General features: G+C 39.5%; 1 protein-coding gene across 7 annotated transcripts in view, besides 1 other annotated feature; it reads right to left on the reverse strand.

Annotated features, from left to right (window-relative positions):
- The window catches only part of CADM1 (cell adhesion molecule 1), a 335180-nt gene that overhangs the window by 91379 nt on the left and 229595 nt on the right, over positions 1-14206 (reverse strand). The window lies entirely within an intron of this gene.
- Positions 10213-10714: an enhancer, noted in NCBI's record as "NANOG hESC enhancer chr11:115141547-115142048 (GRCh37/hg19 assembly coordinates)". NCBI's record gives its function as "activates a minimal SCP1, AML or CMV promoter by ChIP-STARR-seq in naive H9 embryonic stem cells {active_cell/tissue: H9 hESC(naive)}" and the evidence as "EXISTENCE:reporter gene assay evidence [ECO:0000049][PMID:30033119]".

The raw sequence follows: 14206 nt of genomic DNA on the forward strand, positions 1-14206 counted from the left end.
GTCATAATCAATTTTAAGAAAAAGATTCCTAAGTGCTTTTTTTAAATTTTTATTTATTTATTTTATTTATTTTTTTCAGACGGGGTCTCGCTCTGTTGCCCAGGCTGGAGTGCAGTGGCACGATCTTGGCTCACTGCAAGCTCCGCCTCCCAGGTTCACTCCATTCTCCTGCCTCAGCCTCCCGAGTAGCTGGGACTACAGGCGCCTGCCACCACCCCCGGCTAATTTTTTGTATTTTTTTAGTGGAGACGGGGTTTCACCGTGTTAGCCAGGATGGTCTTGATCTTCTGACCTCATGATCCGCCCGCCTCAGCCTCCCAAAGTGCTGGGATTACAGGTATGAGCCACCATGCCCATCCTACCTCCAGGTGCTCTTAATCAGACCTTTGGTAGGTACCTTTTTGGGAATTTGCAATGTAGAGTCTACCCACTTGTTACATAGGCCAAGTGCTTCTCAATGCCTGAGACTTACAAGCTGTAAGAGAGCCTACCATGAGGTAGGCTAAATGTCATGAGGGTACACCTATTATGGGCACAATGTTTCTTCCTATATAAAACCATCAAAGATGTTATTTAAAAACATATTGAGAAATGGTATACAAAAATAATGCTAACATGAAATTATTATTTAGCTACACAGGGAGACCTAGACTAGCTTTCCTGAGCTCTGATTCTCATTTCAATTAGAGCATCTGTTACTGAACCCATACATTAAGAGTCCCAGGACCTCTGTACCACTACTTCTTAGAATTAATGCCTCTCTCAAAAATTAACACAGGGCAATTTCATTCTAATTATAAAAATTATATAGTCATGGTAGAAAAAGTAAAACAAAGTAGTATAAACAAATCCCACAATCCCATAACTCTGAGATAAGGATTAATATTTTAGTGTATTCCTTTTTCATTTTCATATGTTGAAGGGGTGTATGTGTGCAATGTGCACATCTACATAAATTCTGTAATTTTAATTACTATCTTATGTGTCCGTCATATAGGAATACGAGAAGTCATTTCACTGTCTCCTTTTTGTTTTATATTTACATTGTTTCTAAGTTTCTTTTTCTGAAAATGTTACATTGAAAAGACTTTTGTAAAAATATTTGTTCTTGTTTCAGCCTATTTAGAAAACATCTTTTTAACATCAAAAATTTCATGCACTCCAATAAGATTTTTTTTTTTTTTTGACAGAGTCTCACTCTGTTGCCCAGGCTGGAGTGCAGTGGTTCAATCTCGGCTCACTGCAACCTCCACCTCCTGGGTTCAAGCAATTCTCCTGCCTCAGCCTCCTGAGTAGCTGGGATTACAGGCACGTGCCACCACACCTGACTAATTTTTTGTATTTTTAGTAGAGACGGGGTTTCACCATGTTAGCCAGGATGGTCTCGATCTCCTGACCTCGTCATCTGCCCACCTCGGCCTCCCAAAGTGCTGGGATTACAGGCGTGAGCCACCGAAGATATTTTTACGATTCAGTTTTTTTAAATCACAGCAGCATGTATATATTTTGTGTCACACTTTTTTTGTCTTTTTTTTTTTTTTCCTGCTAAGGAAAACTCAAAGTAACAAATGATTCCAACCCAAAGGGATTTGAGACCCCTTTACTCCTTATAAAAACTCTGTGTTACCAACTAGGATTTTATGGATACATATAAACAACTTATGCTATTCTTACTTTTAAAGCACTCACTTTCAAGGCATTTAGAATCTAAAAGGATGAAATCAACTTCAAAATGTAAGTCATAAGTATGTTCGTCCCATAGAAAACACTGAACACACTTTAAATGAAAGATTAAACAATAGGCTTACTTATATTACAAAGGCTGATCAGGGAGCCTTTTGTGGTCTCCCACGACTAGGTTAAGTGCCTCTCCTGTGTGTTTCCATAAGCACCTCACTTGTCCTGTTTCAGCACTTATTCAAACCTCTGCATGCCACCCTAGGCTGTGATACAGTTAAAAGCAAGCGATGAACAAATATCTCCTCTGAACCAGGCATTGCGTACCAAGCTCTGCAAAGCCGTAGTGGATGCTTATTTTCTTTGTTGGTACTGTGTCTGGCAACAAATACTTCTTGAGTGAACAAATGAATGAACAAATGAATCAATAAATGAATGAGTTGATAAATGAGGATTCATTTTAGGGTTTCTTCACCTAAGCTTTTCTATGCCCTTGATGGGTCTTTTTTTTTTTCTTTAAACATTTTATTTTGAAATACCTAAAGACTTACAGAAAAGTTGCAAAAATAATGCAAAAAGTTATCATAAAGCCTTCTTCATCCACCTTCTCCTAATGTTAACATCTTATTTAGCTGTGGTACAGTTACAAAAACTAAGAGATGAATGTTGGTACAACACTGCATGATTGTGACAGTTTGAAGAGTACCGGTCAGCTATTTTGTAGACTGTCCCTCAATCTGGGTTTGTTTCATGCTTTCTCATGATAACACCGAGGTTATGAATTTGGGGAAGAATGCCACGGAGGCGACGCGCCCCTTCATTGCATCATATCATGAGGTACATGACGTCAAAGTCTTACTATTGGTGACATTAACCTTGATCCATCGGTCAAGGTGATGTATGCCAGGTTTCTCCACTGAAAAATTATGACTTTTACCTTTCCAGAGTCTGTTCATTGGAATTGGAGTCACTGACATCCAGCTCATCCTCACAATGAGGGGAATTTATCCTCATCTCCTAAGAGGGAGCAGTATTAAAGAATTTGTAGATATATGTGTATGTTAAAACCACCAGAGGAATTAATAAATATTTGGGGGAAAATACTTGGAGGCTGTGAAACTATCATGTTTCTCCTTAAACTTTCACTTGTTAATTTTAGCATCCACTAGTGGATCTTGTCTGCAGAAATTACTTCAGTGTTCAAGTGGTAACATTTTTATTTCTTTCACTCCTTAAATTGAAATTCTTCTGTAAGGAAGACATTTGTCTTTCCTCCCATTTATTTATTCAGTAATTTAATTATATCAGTATGGACTCATGGATATTTATTTTGTTCTTTGGTTTATAATCCAATACTATTATTACTAATATTTTTGTTCAAATTCTTTCACCTTTGACCATTGCGAGTTCTTTCTGTTATATCCAGCATAACAGAATTAAGAATTAAGGAGAACTTAAAACTAAGTTATCAAGAACCACTGTAAACAGAAACAGGCAAACAATGAAAAGGGAAGAACAGAAAATGAGTTAATTGAACATTTTATGACAAGATTTTTAGGAAAAGATAGAGGAATAGTAGTACGTTGTTTCAAAATAAGAACAACGATAGCAAAAGAGCTGAGAATCTGCTATAGTACTATGTCTATATATATCTTTTCTGATTCCAGTGTGACAGTTTACATTCACAGAAGGCAGCTGGGTGGTGAGGTCCCTGTAATAAGAGGAGGAAGATGAGATCGAGAGTCAAATTCTAACAGACTCAGATGCTCCCTGCAGACTGCTGCCTCCACCCCGTATGTTTAAATACTACTCAATTAGGATCAACATTCATTTTTTATTAATGCTCTTCTGAGACAATGGCTCTTTTATCTGCATTTTATCTTCCAGCTACATTAAGACCAAGGACACTCTCACAGAAGATCTAAAGGAGGAGACCCTGATGAATTGGGAGTTTAAAATACAAACGGAACTTCCTTTGTCAGTCTTGACTTGTTTTATTAACATCTGAAGGTTGATTTATAACAGATTACCAAGCAGGAGAGAACTGTTTGTCCAATCACTTTACTTAACACACACAATTAGAAAAAACAAACATTCAAAAATGTTTCCTTTCTGTGGGCTAATGGATGGCACATTCAGTTCTAAAATAGTCACTTCCATCTCTGTCATCTATTGTAGCAACCAAGGACAGGTGTACCCTATCTCAAGACCACAGAAAAACATTCTCTGCAAAAATGAAGGTTTCAGAGACCTAGTTTTTCCATGAACACAACAAAAGCTCCTGTACAAGGATATTTGTGCTGATGATGAGAGCTCTGGTGGTGGAACCAGATGGAGCTAGACTCAAATCCTGTTTCAACTTGTATAAGCTTTGTGACCTTGAGTAAGTTATTTAACCTAAGCCTCCATTTTGTCATCTATAAAAATGGAAATATTAAGAACCATTGTAACTGATGCGAGGATGAAACGAGACAATGAACGTGCTGTTTGACATTATAAGGATTCAATAAACAGCAGCTATCATATGACAATCATGATGATTTCTCTTACTATCCTTCTTTCCACACCTACACAAGAGAACAAGCTGGAATCGGGTGGGAATGGGGAAGGAGAGTCTACTGCCTGACCCCATTTACTAAACAAGGGTGCCATGAAGGTAAGTGAACAACACCACAGTATTTCTCCATCTCTTTGGTGGGACACACGCACACACTCAAACCATTATATTAGGAATGAAAAGTCTGTTAGCATTAAGAAAAATATAAGGCATTCACTAGGCTATGTTTGCTCTCGAAATATTGTTTACTGGACTGCCTCCCACCTACCACATGCCCCTCCCCTTCTTGAATATACACACTTACATCAGGAAAACAGTTTTCTGCCTGCCTGTTTTTAAAACCAAGGAATCATAACATCTCCCTATTTTTAGGAATTCAATACCAATACTGAAATTTCCCCTTTTCTCATGAGGAAAGGAAAGAAGTGACTTTAACCTCTAAGAGAGAAGGAACCTGGGTGTTGTGTTCATGGTGGTTTCTCCAGTGCCTAGACCAGTATCTGGCCCTTAGTCTTCCTGGGCCTCTGGCTTCTGGTCTATAAGATACAGGCTATGCCAAATCTGGGAACCTTGGGCAGTGCATTCTTGCTGTTGTATTTCCTTTATATTCTAGCTTTTCATTACTCAGCTATTTAGCCCTGCCTCTATCCACACAGAAAACGCTTTTGGTATGTATTTCTCATATTTTTACGTGCTCCAGTGTTCATCCCTCATAAAATCATGGAAAAGTTTCCCTGTCTCCACCATTGAATACACCTACCTGTGTTGTAAACACAAACACTACTTCTACAATACAGGTTGTCTAATCTGTATTTGGGACCAGTAGTTCACTGGGTTAATCCAAAAGAATGACTTATGGTGGGAAATCATAAAAAGAGATACACACATGCCATAAACATTTTGACTTAAAATATATGGCTGTACATTCATTTAATCTTTTGGTGTAAAGTCCAGGTCTTTTCTCACCACCCCTCCCCTCTCAGGTCTTTTCTTTGAGGTGGTTTGTTAATCAATGAAATGGATAATTGGTAACCATGTAGCTCAATTAGGAGGACAGTAGTCCCCAGTGGTCATTCCTGGACCACAGCCTCACATCATGAGGAAGCTTGTTAGAAATGCAAACTCTTGGGTGTCCTTTCGGGTTGAATGCGTCAGAAACCGTAGAAGTGGGGCCCAACAATGTCTTAATAAGCCTTCCAGATGATTCTGAGGCCTCCTGAAGTTTGAGAACCACCGTGGTAAGAGATGAGTTACGAAGGTGTGCAAAGGCAGCCTTACCCGCCAGCATTCAGTGTGCTGTGGGCATCAGCCAGTAGGATTTCCAGAGGGGCTGGACTGCACCAGTTATTCCAGGGAGCTGCTTATTGTGCTCAAAACAAAGGTAATATTACTCAGCCATGTCTTAACATTAGGTGGCTTTGACAGATGTTACTCATAGCAGTGAAATGTAACATTTTGAAGCATAAACCAGCATTTACAATGCTCAATTGTTCTAGAATACTATAACTTTTTCAGCTAGGATCTCTGTGCAGCACTCCTGTGCTACTGCCTGGGGCCTGCTGGAGTGCCATGTCTGCATTATGACAGTGAGAGCCCCGTGGGAGTGCTGGGTTCACAGGCCATCAGCCACGCAGGACTGGGCCACAGAGGAGGTTCAGTACCTCTCCATGAAGCAAGATGTACACTGAGTGTTGTCTTCCACATTTACCAACTTAATGCTTGTTCTATGCCAGCCAACAAATAGCAATCTTTCTTCTACTACTTAATTTATAGCCACATGAGTATAAGCATTTCCTGGGTTCTTTTATCATTCATAACTTTGTTCTGTCAGTAATATCTGTCATTCCGTGCAGCTCAGTAAGCTCTTTCAAACCCAAGATATCTATATTTCTAAATGGAATCTGAGATGAATTTTGATAAACATGCATTCTGTATCTTAATAAAAAAGGGATTTTCCCCCTTAACTACCTGCATATATAAATGTTTAAAAAGTTTCTGAAACCTGCCTTTGCATTAGGTGAAAATTCAATGTCAATATTAAAAATACACAAAACTAGGAAATTGTTTTAACCGTGATGTGATAAATAATAAATCAGAATACAAGTTACTCTGCGATTATGGGTTTTCTCCATTCTTTAAGCTTCTTGCCTGTTGCACATGAGTAGATCGACAGCCCTTTAACAATTATGCACTGCAGCAATCTTGTTAGGGCTTGATAAAACACTGTTACTGTCTTTGTCCCTGCCATGCAAAGATGCTATAGTAAAAGCTATGATGTACCAAGCTGCCATGCACTGAGGTGATGTACCCAAACAAGAAAGTTCAAAGCAAAATTCCAGCGGGTTAAATGTCAGTTTGAGTGCTTGAGGGCAAATGTAGGAGGTACAACCCAAATATTACTTTCTTTGTAGGCAACGCTCCACAATTATAGCTCAGACAAACTTTCGATTTGTTTGGCTGGCTAGCACACCATGCACTCTTTTGGATGCTAATGTATTTCAGGTGCTGAGCCTTTTCCACAAGCCAAGAGCTTCATTTTTAGCAGCCGTATTCTCAGACGAGGCCAGCCAGTGTGCTATCTCCTTGAGGGATATTTACTTACATATTCAGTTCAAATTTACAGTGCCTGGCTTGCGAATGAAATGCCACTTAGGAAGAGAATGCCATACCATTGTGGGAGATAAATCAAACAACCACTTCTTATTTTAGCACACGCTGGAAATCACACATTTCTAAAGCAGTATGTAGGTTATCTGCACAACAGAAACATGGTCCACCCCTTTCAGTACATTTCCCTGGCTACTACACAAACTAACCTAAAATTGCTTTCTTTTTTTTTTTTTTTTTTTTCTAAAATTGCTTTCTTCGGCAAAAGTCTCTTTACTGAAGAAACCAATTAACCCCTTTGGTTCCTTTAAAAAATATGACGAATATAAGGCAACATGGCTGGGTGGACAGTTTAACCTCCGAGAAGGACACGTGCAAAAGAACTCAGATTCAGGAACAGCCCCCTTGGAGGTCAGAATGATATTTATGACACGGTCACCGGGCTGAATTCAAACCTCAAGGGAATGAAAGTGAGTAAATAGGGTTCGTCTTGTTAGCAAAAGGATTATTTACTTCTGAGAATATATCGTTAACACATCCCAGGCTCAGAGAAGCAGTGGTTTCACACAGCTGCTCGCTTCTGCTGATGATGGCACTGAATCATCTCCAGTAAGTCTTTACGAAGAATTGTTTTTCCAGTAGTGTTGATGGGTTTGCATTGAATCATTCACACCACTGGCCTTGTAGCCAACAGCCCACATATTTGTGACGCAGCTGGCTTGGGGTAAGAGAGTGCCCAGAATTATTAGCTATAGATAACTACTAACAATTCAGAGATATTCTGTGTCCTTAGAAGAACATTCTTGATTTTTTACACTTGAGCTTCTTCAGTTTGGCCACTGTACTAAAGTATTTGCAGACTTTGGGATATGCATTTCAGCCTGTGAGGTGGAAAGGTTGCTGGACAATGCTAGAGGCTTGTTTTCAGGTCATCCTTTTCAGGCAAGGAAAAAACCAATCCTCACCACCACAACCAAATCTCTATCTGCACTCTTCAGATTTCTCCTCATTAAGTCTTAAAGCTACCTATTTGTACTAGGAAAAGGGCCACAGAAGTTCTCAGGCTCTGTGCTCAATAAAAAAAGCCACAGGTCCTTGAAGCAGGGAAAGGACCCTACCCCAGCTCAGTGCTCTGGAAGCACTATTGAGGGTAACCAGAGCAGGGCCCAGCACTGCCTCCATTTATTGCCTGCAGATTTTCTTCTTTGCTTTCTTGATGAAACTGTCAATCTTCATAATGGTGTTAGCAATCACAGGGATGTGCTGCGAAGCGGCTTTAAAGGCATCTGATAAAGAGAAAACCTGTGCTCTCCCGTTCCTGAGCCCCTCTTTAGAGTCAGTTACCAGTGATAAGGTTGGGCATTCTGACTTGTACAGAGTACAAGGAATTTGACTTGGCAAGTCAAACTGCCACCACCTCAACAGAATGAGTGGGGCTGCAGAGCTGCCGTCTTTTCAGTTCGACACACAGGTGGAACTTGACATCACCATATTGCGCTCTTCTGGTTGGCTACGTGGCCCAGCAGGAGGTAAACATGCTTGGGTGTCACATAGGGACCAGTGGGCTTTTTGGATCCCATAGTTCGAAGTATTTCTCTCCTCGGCCATAGCTTCTAGACTGGACTCCCAGGAACAATGGTTTCTATAAATGAGTGTGGCCTGGTGCAACTTCAGCGCTCCAATCTAAGTGTACAATCCACATGCTGTCATTCAAGCAAATCCAGACTAACCCAGTGGCCCACACTTGCTCTTGTGAAAACACACATGGCAGGATAGAGGCCCCAAGGGGTCATCAGAGTTCCCCAACTCTCTAAATTCCCCCAAATCAACATCAGAGACAAGCTACCGACCTGAGAGAGTCTGCTGTTTCTTCCCAGAGCAATTCCACACCAGCAGCTTACCCAAGCCAAGTGGGCAAATTATCAAACTGCAGCACGCTTCGATGCCCTCTTTGTAGGCCCTCCATTTCCGTTATTCAGGACTCCTGAATTGCAAACCATTCAAGGACAAAATGAGGTTTATGCTCCCAATTAGTTATTCTTGAAAACTAGGAGCTGTACTACACATTAAAAAAGGAAAACTGCTCAGTACATACTCTGTGGGGGCCTCCAAACAGCAGGTGATTCCATACACCATACGTGATTCAACATTTAAAGGCACCAAGGGGAGTAGAGGACAGGGTTGGAGCTTCAACTCTGACTCCAAACCACAGAAGCCAGGAAATTCAGATCAGAATTGCAAAGTTATATGAGATTTCATATACCATAATACCCATCAAGTCATGTGACTTAAAGCATCTGTCACTAGCCTGATATGCTTTCCCTCTGCAAACTGAAAGAATCTTTAGCCATGCCTATTTGTATACATTTGAATTGGAGCACCAAGAAGGAAAGCTACGTCCCTCTGGATTTGATGAGGCTTTTAAGAACAACCTCTCTACTCCGGTGTCTTAGGAAGAAAGTTGACTGCACCAAAATAGGTCATTTGTCAAGCGGTTATTTACTGAATTTTTCCTGCTGGAAATTATGCCCTCTGCAAGGAAGGTTTAGGCGACGAAGAGGATTTGTGTAAAAGTGTGCAGGCGTCAACTCCCACTATTTCCTTCTCTTCAAATACATCCCAAAAGGGACATGCATTTAAGTAGCACAGCAGGCCAGTATGACCAAAATGACAGCGCTCTTTCCAATTTAGACTTCTAAAAGAGAATACGCAGACACACAATAACAAAAGCCTTTAGTCTAGATTTCATATCAGACACTTTGATGAATAGTAGCCTAAAGGGCAACATATTTATAAGTTTTAAGTCTCTCCTGCAACACAAACTGTCCTGATTTATCCCTATGATAAAGGCAGTTCTGAGAGCTACTTTACCATATTTATTATTTTACAGAGGGGGAAAAATGTTGATTCAGCCCTCAATCTGCTACTGTTGGAGTTATAAATGTTGGTAACAGACCATTGCTGATGTCTATAAATATCAATCTATTCCCCATAACTTCTGGGCACCCCCTCCCCTTTTCTTCCAGAACATTTCCTTCTTATTCTTGTTGCAACTACAGGATTTGCTTTATTGGTGAAAACCTTAAAAGGAAGGAAAGAGTGGCCTCTTTGAAGCCCATCACTGACTGGATAGCTGATGGCCCAGCAAAGCTCCAATTCAATGTTTATTAAAAAGAAAGCTTTACAGACAAATGTTGATACCTCTTCTGTTAAATGATAAATGGGCATTCTTATCTCCCTGTACATATTCCCAACTCTCACCCCCACTCCCAATAAAAACGTTGGTATGGAATAATATCTAAGGTTATTAAGCTCGTTTATTTAAAATATCCTTCTTACTTTGGCCCTTGAATTCAAGAGAACATTCCCACTTTCTCTAAAATCCAGTCCACTTGGTTTACAACATGGTTAATAAATCACTTTTGGGATCTACCTCAAGTCACTGCTTATTTCAGCTAACTGTGAACCACTGGGAGTTTATTCATTAGCAGTATGAAAAACATCTCAACACAACCACCAGATTGTGTTTGTGTACAGTGTCAAAGTGAACTGTTCATTAGCATTTGTAAGAAGCAATCAAGTCACCAAAGGGTATTAAGCCAACCTGGATGAGGGACAGAGGCTTAGGGACTGATGTGTTAATTCACTCTCCTGGATTAAACATCCGAGATAGGTCCTTAGTACAGCTTCATCTTTATCAGGCTAAGCATCAGGTTAGAAATGGATGCCCTCTCAGGAAGTAAAGGGTCAAGTTCATTCTTATAGCCACTGCCAAATACTTAAATTGAAGCTCTGTATATAGTTTATGTTGTTGTTGTTGTTTTGTTGTTGTTGTTGTTGTTTTTGAGACAGAGTGTCACTCTGTCGCCCAGGCTAGAGGGCAGTGGTGCCATCTCGGCTCACTGCAAGCTCTGCCTCCCGGGTTCATGCCACTCTCCTGCCTCAGCCTCCCGAGTAGCTGGGACTACAGGCGCCTACAACCACGCCCAGCTAATTTTTTGTATTTTTAGTAGAGACACGGTTTCACCGTGTTAGCCAGGATGGTCTCGATCTCCCGACCTTGTGATCCACCCGCCTCGGCCTCCCAAAGTGCTGGGATTACAGGCGTGAGCCACCGCGCCCAGCCTAGGATTTTGATCAGTACAGTCAACTAATACTCTATATTGCTATATAATATTTGTGCCCATTATAGATGAACACAGGTTACAATCTTTTCTATTCCAAGAAGCATTTATTGGAGGTAGAAATTCTCAAGAGAGACTTTATAATACAAAGAGACTAAGGATTTTCAGGGCAGTTTTCAGAAGTTTCACTGGTACTATTCTTGGCTAAATTTGAAAAATGCTTGGTATAAACACTACATGTGCTTGTTGGATAGGCAGCCAAAGATCCACTGAGATGTGGTATTCCATGTGGATATGCATCTTTAATTAGTCTCAATAGATTTTGTATGTATTCAACATTAATCTATACCACCTGTCCCAGACTAAAAGCATGAAAATGGTTCTTCCTAATCACTCTTACACAGAAAATTACTCTGTTCCTTCTTCCAATAAATTCTGCAATCTCTCTGGAAGGTCTTAAATGTTAGTTTAATATCACTTTTTCTGGTTCATTATAGATTTTTTTTTTTTTAGGAACTTGCAAAGACCATTGCTCTATAATTTTGTTAAAGGCAAAAGAAAGCAGTTCACAGATGCATTATTAAAATCCCGACCTCAGACACAAGCAAGAATCTCAGTTCTGTGTTTTAATTGTGGTCAATGCATTTCTCATTTCTATTAAGCCTCTTAGCCAAAGGATTATACTCAGTTGCAACATTTCTCCAAATTGTGCATTCAAGTTCAGAAATCAGTGAACACTCTACTCTTGATTTTTGAGCTAAGATGAACAGATTTTTTTTTTGCTTATTATCTAATAGTAATGAGTTCCACATTTATTCAGGTGTATATAAAAACTGTTTTCATATTTTAAAAGAAAAAAAACATTAGTTTAATCAGTTAGACCTAACTAGTATACAGCTAGATTATTATGAGTTTAACCTCAAACAAACAAACAAAAACAAACTTTTAACTCTCCAGCATTCCATGAGGCTTAGATTTTTAATAGGATCTAACATTAGCAATTTGAAGAGGACAAACTTCATGTTATTCACAAATAATTCCGTATTTTTCAGAAATATTGAGACTCAAAATAAGATTATTTCTACGATGAAACACTTGAGAAGAGACCTATTTCGATCTAGTTTTATTTCCTGTAAAGAAAGGGGAACATCACACTCTGGGGACTGTTGTGGGGTGGGGGGAGGGGGGAGGGATAGCATTGGGAGATACACCTAATGCTAGATGACGAGTTAGTGGGTGCAGCACACCAGCATGGCACATGTATACGTATGTAACTAACCTGCACAATGTGCACATGTACCCTAAAACTTAAAGTATAATAAAAAAATTTAAAAAAAAAGCAACGACGTGAAGTTTTTACCATGGAAAGGCAGACAGAGAGAACAACTTTAACTTCTGCTCATTGGTAGGCTGATCAGAGGCCGTCAATGTCAGGGCAGGTAGGGTCAATACCGGGTCAGAAAGATAAACCTACTACAACAGCAGACTTGTTTCCAAGAAAGCTACTTAGTCGTCACACATGAACACAGTAGATATCCTAACAAGATACTAAGAGCTATTTCTGACATGAAGACTAAGAATAAAACTGTTTTGATCTATTAAGTGACCTACTGTATGATGATAAACATTCCAAAATGTCTAAATGGCTAAAAATAAAACCTTGCTTGACCACAACCAAGAGGCCTAAGACATCATCACTGTCTAGATAAAGAATGTCTATACTACAGTGGTGGTTTATTTTTTTTCCATCATATTAAATTCAGAAACATCTCTTAAATGTTCCTCATTAACTGAACACATTATTCGATTCTGTGCTACCTTTCAAAATAGCTCTTTTAGCTAGAAATGAGAAACAAGAAGTCATACCAGATATCAGTTCGATAATTAAGTGAGTTCACCAATATTTCAGACAGAGGGAAATAAATGAAACCCACTGATCTTTGTTACTAGAAGTATCATGATTTTTATCACATATTTAACCAAAGAACTAGGTACCTTAAATGCCAGTTACAAAAATAAATTGTATTTGGTTCTTAATTAAGTCTTTATCATCGTGTTTAAAAAAAAAAATTTAGCCCTGGGGTTTAGATTGTCATTTTATACAAAAGCAAATGGTAAATGCCTTTCTACATGCGAAGCCATTAGATATAATTATGCAATGGGTAAAGTGTGTATCACACTATAAATGTCATTTGGTTTTACAGTTATAAACTCATCAACATTTATCAAAACATCGCCTGGAGAAAGAATGAGATGGCTATAGCTCATGATAAATTCAATGCCATCTTTGAAGATACATGACAAAGGAGTGTCACAGTAAACACACACTGACATTACATACTAGAGTGTTGGTCTTCATACCCATTAAATAGAAGTTGTGTTCTCTCCAGAAAAGTCCCCCAACCACAGTACATTTTGGTGGGTTTCAAGATCTATTTTCCTCCCTGAAAATCACACTTCCTACCCGATGCTTTTCAACATTGACATAAGGTGTGCATAATTCCAGCCAACTTCTGCAGGTAAAGGAGCATGTGAATTCATCTAGATAAGCTTTAGGGTTTGATTTCAATTGCTTATTCAACCACAAATCTTAGTGCTTCTTAGTTAGTAATCTCTTAATGGAGTTCTGTTCAAATGGAAACACAGAGACTATTCCTGCTAGGTTCCCTTTAGACAACAGGGGTTTGTTTCCTATTTCTTGCTCTGAATCACGGAATGGCACAGGTGCTTAAGCACGAGCACCAGGCTCTGCCCGCACACTGTGTTAACAGTTCTCCTTTCTGAGTGCCATTTCACTATCCCCATCAATCTGGTAGTTATCGCCCAGGGAGATTTGTCCCTTGAAAAACAAAATGGCTGGGCTTAAAAAAGTCTACTTCTTCCCTTGTCCGCATTTCAGTTTCATACAACTTGTTAATACAAAATCTTGACAATGGTCCAGGGTAATAATGCCATTGGCAATGTTTCTGTCAGAGCCACTCCTGGCCTTTGCAGCACGGTGCTTAAAAACTGGGGGAGACAAGACAACAGCAACAACGAAAACTGGGAGAAATAATCACTAGCTCTTGAACGTGTAGTAAAGAAGGTAGAACCACAGGACGAGATTTTGATTTTATATAGTCCTCATAGGATTAATAACTTCATTATATCTTTCTTTACAGGCTGGATGCTTTAGATATCTATAAATACCGGTATTTCTTGGGTGGGGTGGCAGCCCAGGACCCCGCAATGACATCAGAAG

This window comes from Homo sapiens, chromosome 11 (genome assembly GCF_000001405.40).
Source record: "Homo sapiens chromosome 11, GRCh38.p14 Primary Assembly".
In the NCBI taxonomy this organism is placed as follows: domain Eukaryota; kingdom Metazoa; phylum Chordata; class Mammalia; order Primates; family Hominidae; genus Homo; species Homo sapiens.